This window comes from Homo sapiens, chromosome 1 (assembly GCF_000001405.40).
Source record: "Homo sapiens chromosome 1, GRCh38.p14 Primary Assembly".
In the NCBI taxonomy this organism is placed as follows: Eukaryota; Metazoa; Chordata; class Mammalia; order Primates; family Hominidae; genus Homo; species Homo sapiens.
In genome coordinates, this window is record NC_000001.11 from 156,531,397 (window position 1) to 156,547,640 (window position 16,244).

Consider the following 16,244-nt stretch of genomic DNA (forward strand, 5'->3'; position numbering starts at 1 on the left):
GTTGCCTGGAATACCTTCCCAACAAACTATCTGCCTTTGAGTCCTTCAGCTGAGCACACATGTCCTTCCCACCCAGCCATCCCTTCTCCTTAGCTCTCAATGCATCTGACACCCACCACCCTCTTGGTGGTGCTCTGTGTTCAGCCCTAGCCCGATCCTGCTCTCAGCCCTTTGATGGCAGGACAAAGATGATACTCAGCTCACTTGTTTTTTTTTTTTTTTTTTGAGATAGAGTTTCACTCCTGTCACCCAGGCTGGAGTGCAATGGCATGATCTCGGCTCACTGCAACCTCTGCCTCCCAGGTTCAAGTGATTCTCCTGCCTCAGCCTCTCAAGTAGCTGGGATTACAGGTGCCTGCCACCACACCCAGCTAATTTGTGTATTTTCAGTAGAGATGGGGTTTCACCATGTTGGCCAGGCTGGTCTCGAACTCCTGACCTCAGGTGATCCACCTGCCTCGGCCTCCCAAAGTGCTGAGATTACAGACATGAGCCACCGCACCTGGCCAGCTCACTTGTTTATTGAGTGAATGAGTGGGTGCAAGGGGTTGCCTTGTTGGCAGGAGCTTGAGCTGGCACTTTGGCTCCTCTTCTGCCCAGATGACCAGCTCACCCCTACTGGGAGTCCTCCCTCACTTTTGTAGAACTGGGGAAGAAGAGCTCCATGCCCATCTCCTGACCATCACACTCAACAAGAATGCGGAATTAGGCTGGGCGCAGTGGCTCACGCCTGTAATCCCAGCACTTTGGGAGGCCAAGGCAGGCAGATCACTTGAGGTCAGGAGTTCAAAATCAGGCTGGCCAACATGGTGAAACCCCATCTCTACTAAAAATACAAAAATTGGCCGGACATGATGGCGAGCACCTGTAGTCCCAGCTACTCAGGAGGCTGAGGCAGGAGAATCGCTTGAACCCAGAAGGCGGAGGTTGCAGTGAACTGAGTTCGTGTCACTGCACTCCAGCCTGGATGACAGAATGAGACTCCATCTCAAAAAAAAAAAAAAAAAAAAAGTGGAATTAGAACATGAGCTCTACAACCCACTGGCTGTGGAACTTTGGATAAATCACATAACTACTGAGTCTTTCCTCAACTATGAAGAGGGGAAGCCACCATCTACCTCATAGCTTGTTTCTAAGAATAAACGATAACTTATTAAAAAAGCATTTGGGCCAGGCGCAGTGGGTCAATCCTGTAATCCTAGCACTTTGGGAGGCTGAGCCAGGTGGATGGCTTTGAGGCCAGGAGTTTGAGGCCAGCTTGGGCAACATGGCGAGACTCTGTCTCTACTTGAAAAAAAAGAAAAAAGCATTTGGTAAACAGCACGATATGCAAACACCTGCTGTTGCCAATATCTTCACCATTCCTTTACTTTCAGTACAACACAGAGCAAAAAGCTGAGGATACCAGATGGAAAAGAGCCAAGGCTGCAGCGAGGGGAATAAAGGTAGGCTTCAGGGAGAACTTCCTGAAGGATAAGGGAGCCCAGGAAGAAGGTGGAATGGGCGCCTCAGAATAAGGCCATTTTACTGGCCTCAGGGCTGGGGAGCTCAGGTATGCAGGGGCAGAGGCTGGCATCACCCACCTCAGAAGCAGGCTACGGGTGTTGGAGTCATCAGCATCTGCCTCTAGTCCTTCAAACTTGTTGGTCAGCGTCAGGGACACTTCTAGCTTGCTCAGGTCCGTGTGCCCATCTGCAGCGATGCTCTCACCTGAGGTGTGGTGAGGAATGAGAGGGAGACAGGCATACACACACACATGCGCACACACACATACACACACACACATGCACCGATGGGGTCACATTAAATCAGCTGCTCCACATGCCCCTCTTCCAGGAAGTTTTCCCACACTGGCCTGCAGAACTACCCTGTGTCCCCAACCCTTAGCACCGATGGAAGGGCTGTTACCCACAGAGCATACCCTTGTGTTACTGGGGCTGTGCCACCCCCACACCCTCAGCCCTGGGTGCCCTGAGGGTAGAGGAGCTGTGCCTCCCTGAGCCTGCAGCTCCTGGTTCTCTCCAATCACCATCTTCATTCTGTCCTTCCTCCCAGTAAGTTGGCTTCCTCCTATTCCATGGCCCGGAAACCCCTCCTTCTCAGAGAAACCTAATGAGGCCCTGATCCCTGTGCCTCTTTCAGATCATTTCATTGACCGTTTTCCATGATGATCGTGGGTCCCTCTACTGTCTGTCTACCTTCTCCACATCAATCTGTGTCCCTGTGCCCATGTCAGGACCAGAGGGAGAGTATGGAACTAGCCGCCTGGCACAAGACCTAGGCTGCATGGGCACGCTCACATGCCCTGCCTGCCTGCCTGTCCCTCCCTCCATGCAGGTCCCCTAGCTGGCCTCAGCTGCTAAGGAGGGCACGTACCAATAAGGTCAGGGATGGTGGGCAGCTCCCCAAGATCCTCCAGGAGCTCATGCAGGGGGTCTTGGTGATCAGGGGCAATGCAGTCCTGGTGCTCCAGCAACAGCTGCAGGACGGAGAAAGAAAAGGAGATGCAGGGTCTGAGCCAGGTCTTCCCTCTGGGGCCAGCCCACTACCCCATCACAGGCTACCAAACCCTTGCCCACCCAGCCAACACCCTCCAGATCTCAGCCCCTCACCCTGTGCGTGTTGACCAGCTCCCCCACGGTGATGTACACCATGGGTTTGGCCACAGCCACCATGTCTGAGTACTCGTCCACTGCAAAACGCTCCTCTGGCTCTGGCACCTGGCAGGCTCTATGGATGAACTTCCTGTCCAGAGGGCGGGCATGTGAGAGAGCGGGGAGGGCCAGCACCCCACACATCTTCTGTCCCCATCATTTCCCCAGCCTTCTCCAGTGATTGCTCAGGCCAATTTGGACTCTCCAGTCTCAGCTTCTGCCCTCTGTCCTGCCCTACCTCTGTCCCAGTGACCCCTCAAGACAATCTCTCTTAATAGTCTCCTTTTCTCTCCACTGGGGAGTCCTTCCAACAACCTATCCTCCACCCCGCTCATTATGCTCATCCCTTCTATTTATGCCTCTTGTCCTCATGGATTCTGGAGGGGACAAGTGGGATGTCAAAGGTGAGAAGAGGGAAGAAAGGGGACAGAGAGGAAAGGGACCCAAGACCTGAACTTGAGGTGTGTTTCCTCCAGATAGTCATTCAGGACCCGTAGGTGCTGGCTCTGCCCAGAGAAGGCCTTGCCAGCCGCAGCGTGCTGTAGGAGCTGAGCCACAGCCCCCAGGGCATGGCGCTGGGGGGCAGCCAGGGCTCCACCAGCTGCCATGGCCACAATGTCGAAGGCGTCAGGAGCCACCACAGCTGGGTTCAGGAAGCGGTAGTACAGGAGGTTCCCGACCACCTGAGGGCAAAGGAGACTCTCCCAGAAGTGTCCAGGGGCCGCCTTGACTGGTGCGGCCCCACATTCTCAGCTTGCTTGGCTGGAAGGGACACCTGGGCCAACCCCCTCACTTCAAAGAAAACAGGCCCAGAGCAGGCAGACAACTTGCTTAAGGCCACACAGCAAACCTGAGCAAGAGCTGGGACTTGAACCCAGATCTCCTGACAAGAAGCCAGTGTTGCCCACTCTGTTCGCTCACACCCCAGCATGAGCCATCTGCCACCTGAAGCCCTGCGGGTGAGCCAGGCTCCATTTATAGGGGGCAGCATATTTCCCTCCTTGGATTTTTATGGCATAGGATTTTTTGTGTTTTTGTCTCAGTCTGGGGATTGCAGGTACCAGCAAAGCAAAGGAGGGATTGGGAGGTGGGGGTGGGGAGACAACACTTGCCTTATAGACCTCGCTGTCTGTGGCGTCAGGGAATTTCTCTGCCAGAGTTGCCTTCAGGACTTTGGCCACATATCGCATCCCATACCTGGGGACAAAGAAACAGGTGCGCGTGGCTGTGCCTCTGCCCATCTCTCTCTGCCAGAGATAAGAGCTTGAGTGCCTGGCTGTCTCTTCTCCCCCAGGCTCAGCCACTCCAGAGTAGAGCTCAAGCACTGTCCCTCCACTAGCCATAGCCAGCTCCCTGCTGCCTTCCTCCAAACGTCTCTGGGCCTTGTCCCTTCCTCCTGCCTTATGTCAGTAGTCAGGACCAGGGCCCTATCATCTACTAAATCTCTCACACAGCCTCCAACCTGGCTCGAGAACCTCTTCTTTGAGACTCTCTGGGTCCCCTGCAGAGCACCCCAGCTCACCATAGCCATCCCCCATCCCCCAGAGGCACCATTAACCTAAAGCTTGGGTATCTGACACTCACAGCCAAAACCCTGTCCTAGGACAGCCTAGGTGGCTCCGAGGTAGTCAACCTTGTCAGCTGTCACAGAGCATCTGTGAGTGGCCTAGTCTGGGCTAGAGGTAGGGCCCCAAGGAGATCAGTGAGCCGGGAGGAGAAGCTCCAGTTTGGACTCCACCACCAACCAGAGATATTATCTTAGACTATTTCCTTCTCCTTTGTAAGTCTGTCCCCTGGTCTAGAAAATGGGAATGATCATTCTTGCCTTCTCTTCTCACAGGGCTTTTTGAGGATCAAGTGAAATTATGTCTGCGAGAGTAACGTATAATGGTAGAGTACTATTCAAATGTGCTAGACTGTATTATCATTATTATTCCTATTATGGATGTGCCACCTACAAATGTAATTAAATTCATTTAAAAGCAATTTCCACTCCTAGGGTACCAGAGACAGAAGTTTACAGCTCATTGTGTACTTTACTTTCTTAAGCCTAGAACAATCTTTTCTTACTCCTAATTGTAAACTCTTAATCCGGTTCTCCAGGTTTGGGGAGCAGGGTTATAAACTCTGTGGGTTCCCCCTTTCAACATCCTCATCTTGCCCTGGGCATTCCAGCCTGGGCAATGGAGTGAGACCCTGTCTTAAAAATAATAATAATAAAAAATAAAGAAAAACAAACAAAAAAAGAATGAAAGCCTGTCATTTTCGACAACATAGATGAACGTAGAGGTTCGTGTTAAGTGACATACATAAGCCAAACACAGAAGGACAAATACTGCATAATCTCACTCATATGTGGAATCTTAAAAAGGTGATTTCACAGGAGTAGAGAGTAGAATGGTGGTTACCGGAGTCTGGGGAGGGTAGGAGAAGGGGAGAGAGGATGGGGAGAGGTTGGTCAATGGGTACAAAGTTACATCCAGGTAGAAAGAATAAGTTCTGGTGCTCTATTGCACAGAAGGTGACTATAGTTGATAATAATGTGTTGTATATCTCAAAATAGCTAGAAGGATTTTGAATGTTCTCACCAAAAAGAAATAAATGTTTGAGGTAATAGATATGCTAATTACCCTGATTTGATCATTCATTGCACAATGTATACACGTATCAAAACATCACACTATACCCTATGAATATGTACAATTATCATGTGTCAAAAATAAATGTAGAAAACCAAACGTATTGACTAAATTTTAAGAAAAGAGAGAACTATAAAGTACTTTATGGGCTTAAAATATTTATTTTTGATATTGGGAACTGAAGAGTCCCATTTTCTCCTCATTTGCTCTTAGCTAATAAAGTGTCCCTGAGATCATTTTAGGGTCCCTCCTCTGGTTCCACTGACATCCTACCAGGCCACACACAGACTTGCACGCCGTCTCTCAGCTCAGCTCTCTAGCAGGAGCTTCGAGCATTCCCCACATCTCTTCAGGAACCCCTCTGAGTACCCCTGGCTCCATCTCCCTCCCTGCCTTCCTCCCTGCAGGACTATCACCCTGCTCTGCTCCCCATGGTGGCCTGGCCCTCTTGAAATCCCATGCGTAGGCTGGGGTGGGGCTGTTGCACATACGGAATTTGGTCCACAGATGAGGTGATGGCTAAAAGGAACTTATCAGTCATGGCGAGGAGGTTGCGTAGGGCGATGTCCAGTCGTCTCTGGACCTCGGGGTGGCTCAAGGCCTGCTCCGGGGTGACATCATATGGGAGATGGCTATGAGCAGAGAGAGACAAGGTGTAAGCAGGAGCCCCCTCCAATGGCCTCCTTCCCCAAGGCCCTATTCCTTAAACGCTTGTCTAACAACAAGATCTCATACAGATGTGCTAAGGACAGCTCAGCATGCTAAAGGAGAAAGGGCCAGAATGAGAGAAAGGACTGGAGAAATGCAGTCGGGAGGTAAAGAAGAGTTGGAGTATCTACAGGGAAGCTGGAAGAATGTAGGAAGGAACAGAGAACGTGGAATCTAGGGACCCTTCTAAGGGGAACAGATGACAAGCAGGCGGCTGCGCTGCAAATAGTCTTTGGGAGTTTGGAATAATGGAGAGGCTGGGCCAGAGCCTTATAGTTCCCTCACCTAAAGCCTCCTGTGCCATCCAGAGCAGCCACCAGGATTGCCTGCTCGCCTCTGTGGCTAGGTTTCCCTAGCACCTAGGGACCTGAGTAATGACCCCAGGCTATAAGGGCAACCTATCTCTCCCACTATCTCATTTGCCTATTCATCTGTAAATAGAAATATTCTTCTATACCCCTATCAATAGGAGTCCATATCCTAACTCCCAGCAAATTTTTTTTTTTTTTTTTGCGGGGGGACAGAGTCTCACTCTGTTGCCTAGAGCTGGAGTGCAGTGGTGCAATCTCGGCTCACCGCAACCTCCCAGGTTCAAGTGATTCTCTTGCCTCAGCCTCCCGAGTAGCTGGGACTGCAGGAGTGCGCCACAACACCCGGCGAATTTTTGTATTTTTTATTTTTGAGACAGAGTCTCGCTCTGTCGCCCAGCCTGGAGTGCAGTGGCACGATCTCGGCTCACTGCAAGCTCTGCCTCCCAGATTCATGACATTCTCCTGCTTCAGCCTCCCGAGTAGCTAGGACTACAGGTGCCTGCCACCACGCCCGGCTAATTTTTTGTATTTTTAGTAGAGATGGGGTTTCACCATGTTAGCCAGGATAGTCTCGATCTCCTGACCTCGTGATCCGCCTGCCTCGGTCTCCCAAAGTGCTGGGATTACAGGCGTGAGCCACCACGCCTGACCTACATTTTTAGTAGAGATAGAGTTTCACCATGTTGGCCAGGCTGGTCTCAAACTCCTGACCTCAGGTGATCTGCCCACCTTGAGCCCCCCAAAGTGCTGGGATTACAGGCGTGAGCCACTATGTCCGGCCCTACTACCACCAAATTTGACACATCATTTGCAAGCACTGACATAGCAATTAAGCACATTTGCATATTCATCTGTACTCATTTTATGTTAAGCCCACCAGGTCTGAAGTCATTTACATCAGTTTCATGTTAATTATCAGAGGGGGTCTAAAAGACTACCTTATTCATGCCTACAAAGCTGGTGTCATATTTGCATAGATCAGCATGCCCATTTATATGCCACCTTCAAAGTACACCCAAGCTTCCCCAGTAGGGTCCAAGACACAGCTGATCAAGACACAGCTGATCAAAGAGAGCTCCTCCCTCTGCCCATGTGCTCACCTGCGCTGCCCTGTCTGGGCCTCAGTCTGGTTGATCCAGTTCTTATAGAGGTGGACAGGGTCTGTGTGGACGCTGAGCACTTTGTCTTCTAGCACATCCTGGATAACCTTGCCCAGAATCTCCTGCAGGGCACTCTGTCCCCGCCCATTACGGTAGAATCTCACCACCAGCCTCACCACTGTTGGGTTGCCTGTCACCACGTCCTGGGGCTGCTCCACCTTTGACCTGTGGTTTAAGAGGTCATTGAAACCAGTCTTCTGCCTCTGTGTAGGACATACCGTTGCTTTTCCTTTTTGAGATTTTGGCTCTCAAAGCCTGCCCTGGTGTCCCCGCTCTTAAGGAATGTCTTGATATCTCTCTCATCCTTTGTGTTAGCATGTCAGCCCATATCCTCCCACTGTGCTGTCCCAGATGTTTTACGGTTTCTCCACAGGAGGTAGAGAAAAGAGGTCTTCTGATTCCATTTCTACCCTTAGGCCTCAACAAGTTGTCACCTTGTGAAGGAGCCAACAGGGGGATCTCTTAACCCATTCTCTCCCCATTCCTTTGTGTCTGGAGAGCCTACTTGATTTCCTCCTGGAGTGCTGTCTTGAACAGCTGGAGCAGGAGATAGGCCTCTCGGCGGCTGGAGGCATAGTTGTACAGGCTGAAAATCACTGCCTCCATGAACTTGGTGGTTTTGTTCTGTGGCATCTGAAAGATCAGCTTGGCCAGGTAGATGGGCTGAGTCTGCAAGCAAGAGGGGAGACAGGAATGGCTGACCATGCACTTCAAGGACCAGTGATAGGATAAGGAAAGGCTTTCCCCTGATGGAAATCTGGAATGGAGAAAGCACTACCACACTTTCTCCAGGTGCTAGTAACATTCCAGACAAACAGGGGAAGAGGTAGTCTCCTTTCCTGGGGATAAGGAATTAAGATTATGGGAAAGGACACCTTGCATGGTGCCAAACGCACAGACAAGAAGGCCTTGAAGTCTCAGACCCTCAGGAGACGGGAGAGACTTCTCCTTGGAAAGTCCTCTGCTAACCTGGAGCAGGTAGAAGAGGTGTTGGTATGCTTCTAGTTTCTGCCGTTTCTCTTTGCTCAGCGACTTTAAACCCTTCTGCTTGTCCAGAACCATCATATCTGACAGCTGTTCCTTATTCCTCTTGGTCAGCTTCTTGCAGTGGGAGACCACTTCCTGCAGGGGTGGAGGAGCGGGTGATACAACTAGCCTAGGCCATCCCAGGGCACAGAACATACGGTCTAGAATCAGTGCCTTGAAGAGCCAGGGCTTTCTGCTGTTCAAGGAACAGGCATAAGCTGGGGGACAGAAGCAGTTCTAGGGTGAGGAAGGGCCCCTCCAAGTGCCCTGAGACTCCATCTGTTTCCTCTCCTGTCATGGGAGTGAGTCCCCAAAGAGAACTGGTTTGCCAGGCTGAGGAATTGTGTCTATTTGGCTTTTGCTATCTCTTCTTATTAGACTGCTACACACATTTGAGGTGGAGCTATCACTATATCACTATTACCCTGTCACTGCATATTTATATGGTAATTTATGATTTAAACAGCTTTCATATCTGTCTCTATATTTGGCCTGGAGAGGTGGACATTCTCATTATTCTCAGTTTGCTAATGAGAAAACAGACTTAGAAGTGAAATGAGCACCCACAGCCCCATCCCTGGGAATCAGCAGAGCCAGGCATTCTGATTCTAGGTTTCATGCTCTTTCTACTCTGTCATGGGTCCCCCAAAATGATTTATTAGAATGGCAGAGGGCCACTGGAACAAGGACCTGAGTCAGGTGACAAAATCCACAACATTTTGAAAAAAATTGATTAGCAAGCAGAGAATGGTCAGCATCACATCTCCAGAGGCAGGCAGATCTCGGGGAGGGGAGGACTGGTGGGCCCCATACCTGCAGAGTGATCCGGTTCTTCACCAGCAGGCCAATCTTGATGTCCATGATGTTGAGGTCCTGCTCCAGCTGCTGATTGGATCGGATCTTCCTAACTACCTCTTCCTGGAGCTTCAGCAGCTCTGCCTCAGCCAAGAAGTCTTGCTGGCTTTGATTCAAGAGATGGGCAAATCTGCGTACCACACTGAGAGGAGGGTGGGGTGCATGCACTGGGAGGAAGGGAGGAGGCATCAGGATTAGCCATGCCTCATCAGAGGCCTCCTCACCAGCCCCTGCCCGAGTCAGCCCACCCCAGTCCCCGTTCTGCTTGGGATCAGCAGGTCCCCAACCCCAGTCCTCTTCTAACTGGTTCTGCTTGCACTTGGAGGGCAGTGGGTAGCCTTCTAGCCAGGCCTGTCCCTGAGCTTCCTGTCTTATAACTGGAGATGACATAATAGCTGCTCTTCCCATGCCTCTGATTCACCCCAGCCTGGGTCTATCCCAGGGACCTCTGACACCAAAGCCAGAGCCACAGCTCCCTCTGATTATCCTCCCAGACCTCCCTAGTCTACCCCAATCTACCACTCACTTCTGCTGGGCCAACCTGCTCCTCCTCCTCCTCCTACCTGCCAGCCACCACTCAGCCCTGCTTGCTCCCACAGTGCTCCTCTGTCAGGAATGTCTGTACACACCGGGAAGGACAGGTAGACGGGATGGACAGTGGGCTTTATAATTTAGGGGAGGTCAGAGCTAGCTGGTGATTCTCCTTGAATCACCTTTGGAATTGGCATTTGAGCAAAAAAGAAAGAAGCCTCTGAGCTAATTTATTGGAAATAACAACAAAACAACTAATACATAGAATGTTTACTATGAGACAGAACCTGTTCTAAGTACTTTACGTACTTAAGACCACCTGTGAGGTCAGTACACTATAACTATCCTCTCTTACCGATAATAACTCTGAGACTCAGAGAAGGTAAGCAACTTGCCCTATGTTACACAGTTAGTAATAAATGAAGGAGTCAGATTTGGAAGATGAATAAAACTAGTCCCTGTCCCTAAAGGCAGTCTAGTAGGGGAACTAGACAAATAAACCACAATTCACTGCAGTGTAGTTAGCACTTTGAGAGGAGCAAGCATGGGGATCTTTGGGAAAACAAAAGTGGGTTGCCCAACCCCACCTGGGGAGTGAAGAGACACTGCAAGGAGGAGGTGAGACACCCCAGATGTCGGTGAAAAGGAGGCAGAGAGGGTGAATGTGGGGAGTGCTGGAAGTCCACTGTATCTGGAACACAGTGCAGAAGGTGTAGGTGGTGAGGGGCAGGTCAGTGAAGTTAGAGGTGTAGGGAAAGGCTGGATCACAAAAAGCCCCAAAGCTGTGATTAGGAGGTTGGACTTTATCCTCAAGGCAACAGGGCATCATGATAAGTCTTAAGGAGGTGAGTGACATGATCACATGTACAGGTTTAATGGATTAATCTGGCTACAGTAGGGGAACAAATCTTTTTTTATTTTTATTTTTAGACAGAGTCTCGCTCTGTTGTCCAGGTTGGAATTCAGTGGCATGATCTCAGCGACTTGCAACCTCTGCTTCCTGGGCTCAAGAGATTGTCCTGCCTCAGCCTCCCAAGTAGCTGGGATTACAGGTACCTGTCACCATGTCTGGCTAATTTTTGTATCTTTAGTAGAGACAGGGTTTCACCATGTTGGCCACGCTGGTCTTAAACTCCTGACCTCAGGTGATTCTCCTGCCTCAGCCTCCCAAAGTGCTGGGATTACAGGTGTGAGCCACCAGGCCCGGCCTGGGGACAAATCTTTGAGGAGTGAAGAAGGGTAGAGGCCAAGACAATTCATGGCATCTTGGATTCGATGAAATACAGCATATTAACTCCTCAAAACAACCCTACAAGATAGGTATTAGCATTATGTCCAGTTTATAAAGGAGAAAAGTGGGCAAGAAGGAAGTTAATTGGCTGGGTGTGGTGGTTCATGACTGTAATCCCAGAACTTTGGGCAGCCAAGGTGAGTGGATCACTTGAGCCCAGGAGTTTGAGACCAGTCTGGGCAAAATGGGGAGACCCCCATCTCTACAAAAAATCAAAAAGTTAGCCAGTTGTGGTGGTGTACGCCTCCAGTCCCAGCTACTCAGGAGGCTGAGATGGGAGGATCGCTTGAGCCTGGAAGGTTGAGGCTGCAGTGAGCCGTGATCATGCCACTGCACTCCAGCCAGGGTGACAGAGCGAGACTCTGTCCTAAATAAACAAATAAATAAATAATCAATTAAAAAAAAAAAGGAAGTTAAGTAACTTGCCAAGGGCCACACAGCTAGTAAATGGTAGAGCTCTGAGTAAAGTCTGGGGGCCAGTGAAGTCAGGAGACAGCACTAGGGAAAAGCAAGTTCTTCCAGAAAAACCATAAACTGAAGAGAAGAAAAAGAAGATAAAGAATGGCCAGGACAATGGTGTTAGTGTAACCACAGAGACAAAATAGAATGGGCTAGGCTGGGGATAGGGAAGGAGAGAAAGAAGCTTGTTGACAGGAAGCAGATGGCCTGAGTGTGCATGGCCAGAGAAGGGACAGGCAAAGCCCCTGTGGGCAGGACAGGGGCGAAGAAGGACTGAGGAGGTGAAGGAGAGGATTCCTGAACAGGACATCTCACCAGAAGCCCAAGAGTGCAGCCTCAAGGCCAGGAAGGAAAGGGGCCTACTGCTTCAGGAACCCAGGGGCTAGAGGTGAATGTAGAAATGGACTACTTGTCAATTTCACAAAAAGGAAGGGGATGCCATTTGCTGGGCTTCTGAACTTGAAGAACAAGAGCCAGAAAGGATCTCTTTAAAGCTTTAAATGAGCACCCAACTAATGGGGAATATGGAGCAGGAAGATGGCACTCCCTTGGGTGCTTCTCACATTCTCCACACCACGGAATAGATGTACTCTGTGTGCCTCACCAGGCCTTGTTTGTGCTGGGCCACAGAGGACTGGAGAGGAGAAGGTTGAACCCTAAGAAAAGAAGCAAGATCCTTTTCTTTCTGCTTTGGTGGTAGCAATAGGCAGATAATCTAAGCCTGTTCCAAAAAGAGCCTGGTTAGAAGAACTTTCACGTGACAAGGCTATCTGTGATTGGGATGAGCAGGGGGGCTTTTGTTACAACTCCTGTTCCATGCTCCTGCACAGACAACTTGTGACTACCTTCCCCTTACCTGCTGTGCAGTCGCAGAAGGATGTCTAGACCTGCCTGGCTCTGTGGGGTCCTCTCCCTCCCAACAGCTGGGGAGGGTGGATCAGGCAGCTCACCTAATATCCTGTAGTCATCTTGGGCTTTCCTGGCTCGGAAAAATGCCTGGATCTTCACAATGGAGTTAACCTGCCACAAACACAGATTGGAAAAGGGTTGCTGGCTGTCCTTGCTCTAGTCTCATGGGCAAAGGTTGGGTATGTGGGCAGGGGGAACAAGGTGACACTCACATTCTTCTGGAAGTAGTGCAGACGCCTCAGGTATTGCCTCCGAGCTGCCCACATCCGGGCCCAGGCCTGGATCTGGGAGAAGAAACACACTGCCTCAGCTCCAGCTTGGGGCCCACCCTCACTCAGTCTCAGGCCAATTCAGCTAAATCTAGAGGTCACAAGAAGGTGACAAGACTACAAGATTGTTCTCAGACGGTCCTTTGAGAGAAAGGAGCCTGCCAAAACCACCGTAGCTACCTTGATTATGGCATCCAGGTTTGCTTTAAAATACTGCAACCACTCCAGGTAAATCTTCCGCTGCCTATAACCCCGCCAATGAGCCTGCACATCAGGAGAGAAAGGGAAGTAACTCAAGCAGGTCTCCTTTGGCCAGAAAGGCTTTTAAGAAAATCTTTGTCCTGGGCCCTCCAGGGAATGGAAGGGGGCAGTTAAATAGAGGGGGAAGGGGAAAGTGGCCCTGTTCTCAAAGAACTTCCAACTTCATGGGGAAGACCAAATGGCTTCACATAGCCAACAATGCCCTCTGCCATACTCCCTGGTCCCAGAACAAACACCCACATACCCACACCCACACACCTCTAACCAACACCTCTTCACAGAAACTCAACTATAAGATACAGTCCTAAAAGATAATAAAGCATACACCTACTCATCAACTTCACCAAAGTATGTACCATATCAGCCTAAAATATACTCATACACCCATATGCAGACCACCCACACACTATCACACACTCCACCCTCCCTCATGTGCACAGAAAGTGGGCAGAGAGCAGTCTGGAAATGCATGCAGTTGTGTGGATGAGAAGTGTGTACAGGCACAGAGCCGTGTGCTCACCATCTCTGCCCGCGGCCACCTGGGCAGCAGGTCACTAATGCTCTCATAACTCACATTCTCTTTAAAACACAATCCAGCTCCTGACCCTAGTTCTCAGCAAATCTTCCCACCAAGGTCCCCAGTAACTCAGCTGTCAGGCTGATGGCCTCTCCCCTAGCTGATCTGCTGCAAAGGGCCCAACCGACGTCTGCACAAATCATGCCTCCTTTGGTCTCTAAAATCTCAAGGCCCTCTTCCAATCCAGTCTCCTTCCTAGGAGACTTTTCCCTTTCCCTCCAAGCTTGTGTGGGATTAATTTTCCTAAAGTACCTCTTAGACTATAGACTATCCCAGCCTGTTTCCAGAAGTTCTCAACCATCTGACCCAACACTCCCTATTTGACTTGCCACTGGTCCCCACCTTCTTAAGGATCCTAGATGCATCAGACTTTTCACTTTCTTGTAAACATGCCTTATGGTTTTCTGTCCCTGAACCTTTTATACTCACCTTTGTTCCCACTGAAATACTTCCTGTCTTTTTTTTTTTTTTGAGACAGGGTCTTTCTCTGTCACCCAGGTTGGAGTGCAGTGGTGCTGTCATGGCTCACTGCAGCGTCAACCTCCTGGGCTCAAGTGATCCTCCTGCCTCAGCCTCCTAAGTAGCTGGAATCACAGGTGTGTGTCACCATGCCTGATTACTTTTTTATGTTTTGTAGAGATGGGGTCTTACTATATTGCTCAGGCCAGTCTTGAACTCCTCGGCTCAAGCAATCCTCCCACCTCGGCCTCCCAAAGTTCTGAGGTTACAGGCGTGAGCCACCATGCTTGGCCCTTCCTGTCTTTTAGGCCCCATGTCCAGCATCTCCCAGTGCACAGGCCCTGGGAGATACTCTACCACTGACATTGTCTCAGTTTGGTAAGACTTGGGAGCAACTCCTTTCATTCAGTTGCCCTTAGCCCTTCCTAAAGCCAGTTCTGCCAGCTTTCCCTCAAGGCTTACACGGCCCCTCTGTTGGGATAGGATGTAAAAGAGGATAGCTTGGTCCATGATGCCAGCTGTCCATGTTGGAGCCTAGAGGTCAGGAAGGCCCATTTCCAAGCCTGCCCTCAGGACTCTTTCCTTTCCTCCTCCAGGTACTGACTGGAAAGTTGCTGTGGGAAAAGGCAGAGTGGTCTGCTCTCTGCTCTTACTCACTACCCAACCTCCACCAGGCTCCTTAAGGCCTCTGAATTGGTCAGAATTCAGGATCCTGGATGGGGTTCTGGCCAGGGTCAGAGCTTTCAGGAGATAAAGTCTCAGCACACCCAGGAAGCCTCATTTTGGATTTTCCTTTCCCCGGGCAAGAGGCTCAAGGCTCTGGGCTACCCCTCTCTTTCTCTGTCTCCCAGGACCCAGGCCAGAGCCCACACAGCTTTGGTACTAGTGACAAATGTTCCCTCTGACTCCATCTTCTCTCCCACTGTTGGTGTGGTTTTTCATCGCCTTAGTGTGAAATTCCAGACTGGGCTCAGGAGGGAGAAATCCCTATGATTCAGACCACTAAATACAGATCACTAAAGTTCTGTATTGAGTTCTGGGACCAATGCCCTGAAAACAAAATCTCATAATGGCTCCCATCAACGGAGCACTTACCATGCTAAGTGCTACATGTAATTTTCCTACTGAATCCTCCTAATCAACATATGAGGTGAGTACCATCATTATGAATGAGGAAACCGAGTGCTAGAGAGGGCATAAGTAAGGTGCCCAATGTCATATGACCCAGAAGTGGTAGGACCAGGAGGCAAACTCTACCTTCTGACCCCAAAGCCTGAGCTCTCAATTACCCCCCAACACCCTCAGTCATAATCAAGGGCCATTTGCCAGTCCTGATCTGCACATCTGTCTCCCTTGGTGTCCTCTGGTGTTGTCTTCATGTCCCTCCTATCACAATGTCTGACATCAAGTGTACTCCAATTTCTGTGAGGGGAGAGAAGTGATTACTCACCCGTGGGCCTTGCACCCATCTCCCACCCTTGCTTAGTGCCAAGTGGCATGCTCTTGGCATTCAAAGAAGTTTGTGAAAGCATCTTACATTGCCAGCACCTCCACGAGGCCCTCCAGATCACATCTGCCTGGGAAGGTATCTGCTCAATTGCCATCATTCCTGGCTTGCTTGCACAGTGTCTCTGGCTATCTTCCCTACCAGCCTCATGTCTCAATTACTTATGGGTCAGTCTCAGAGGCCACACTGGACCATCCACGGGTTGGAAGAATAAAAATGGGAAGGGCTGGTAGGAGAGGAAAGGTAGAAGGCTATTCTCTTCCTAAAGGATATTCCACCCCTTTTCTGTTTAACCACCACCACTTCTTCGAGCCCTCCTAGTGTCCTAGCCTTGATGTCTTACTAAACACACAGACACACAGACACAGACACACAGACACACACACACACACACACACACACACACACACACAGACACACACACATTTTTAGAGACAGGGTCTCGCTCTGTTGCCCATGCTGGAGTGCAGTGGTGTCATTATAGCTCATTTCAGCCAGTACACTGCCCTCTAGCCTGGGTGACAGAGTGAGACCCTGTCATGCAATCCTCCCACCTCAGCCTTCTGAGTGGCTGGAATCACAGGCATGAGCCACTGCGCCCAGCTAAATCTTATTTCACTCTTCCCTT

General features: G+C 50.2%; 1 protein-coding gene across 7 annotated transcripts in view, besides 1 other annotated feature; it reads right to left on the bottom strand.

Moving 5' to 3' along the window:
* The window catches only part of IQGAP3 (IQ motif containing GTPase activating protein 3), a 47,161-nt gene that overhangs the window by 5,992 nt on the left and 24,925 nt on the right, over positions 1–16,244 (bottom strand). For all 7 annotated transcript variants that reach the window (XM_047445996.1, NM_178229.5, XM_047445990.1 and 4 more), the window contains 13 exons: positions 12,993–13,076; positions 12,756–12,827; positions 12,585–12,654; positions 9,312–9,520; positions 8,442–8,594; positions 7,978–8,141; positions 7,413–7,637; positions 5,785–5,925; positions 3,767–3,851; positions 3,105–3,337; positions 2,613–2,745; positions 2,377–2,479; positions 1,584–1,710 (listed from right to left, as the gene is read on the bottom strand). In XM_047445996.1, the coding sequence (XP_047301952.1) occupies positions 1,584–1,710; positions 2,377–2,479; positions 2,613–2,745; positions 3,105–3,337; positions 3,767–3,851; positions 5,785–5,925; positions 7,413–7,637; positions 7,978–8,141; positions 8,442–8,594; positions 9,312–9,520; positions 12,585–12,654; positions 12,756–12,827; positions 12,993–13,076 (1,799 nt within the window). The remainder of the gene's footprint in view (positions 1–1,583; positions 1,711–2,376; positions 2,480–2,612; positions 2,746–3,104; positions 3,338–3,766; positions 3,852–5,784; positions 5,926–7,412; positions 7,638–7,977; positions 8,142–8,441; positions 8,595–9,311; positions 9,521–12,584; positions 12,655–12,755; positions 12,828–12,992; positions 13,077–16,244) is intronic.
* Positions 7,523–8,103: an enhancer, noted in NCBI's record as "NANOG hESC enhancer chr1:156508711-156509291 (GRCh37/hg19 assembly coordinates)". NCBI's record gives its function as "activates a minimal SCP1, AML or CMV promoter by ChIP-STARR-seq in naive H9 embryonic stem cells {active_cell/tissue: H9 hESC(naive)}" and the evidence as "EXISTENCE:reporter gene assay evidence [ECO:0000049][PMID:30033119]".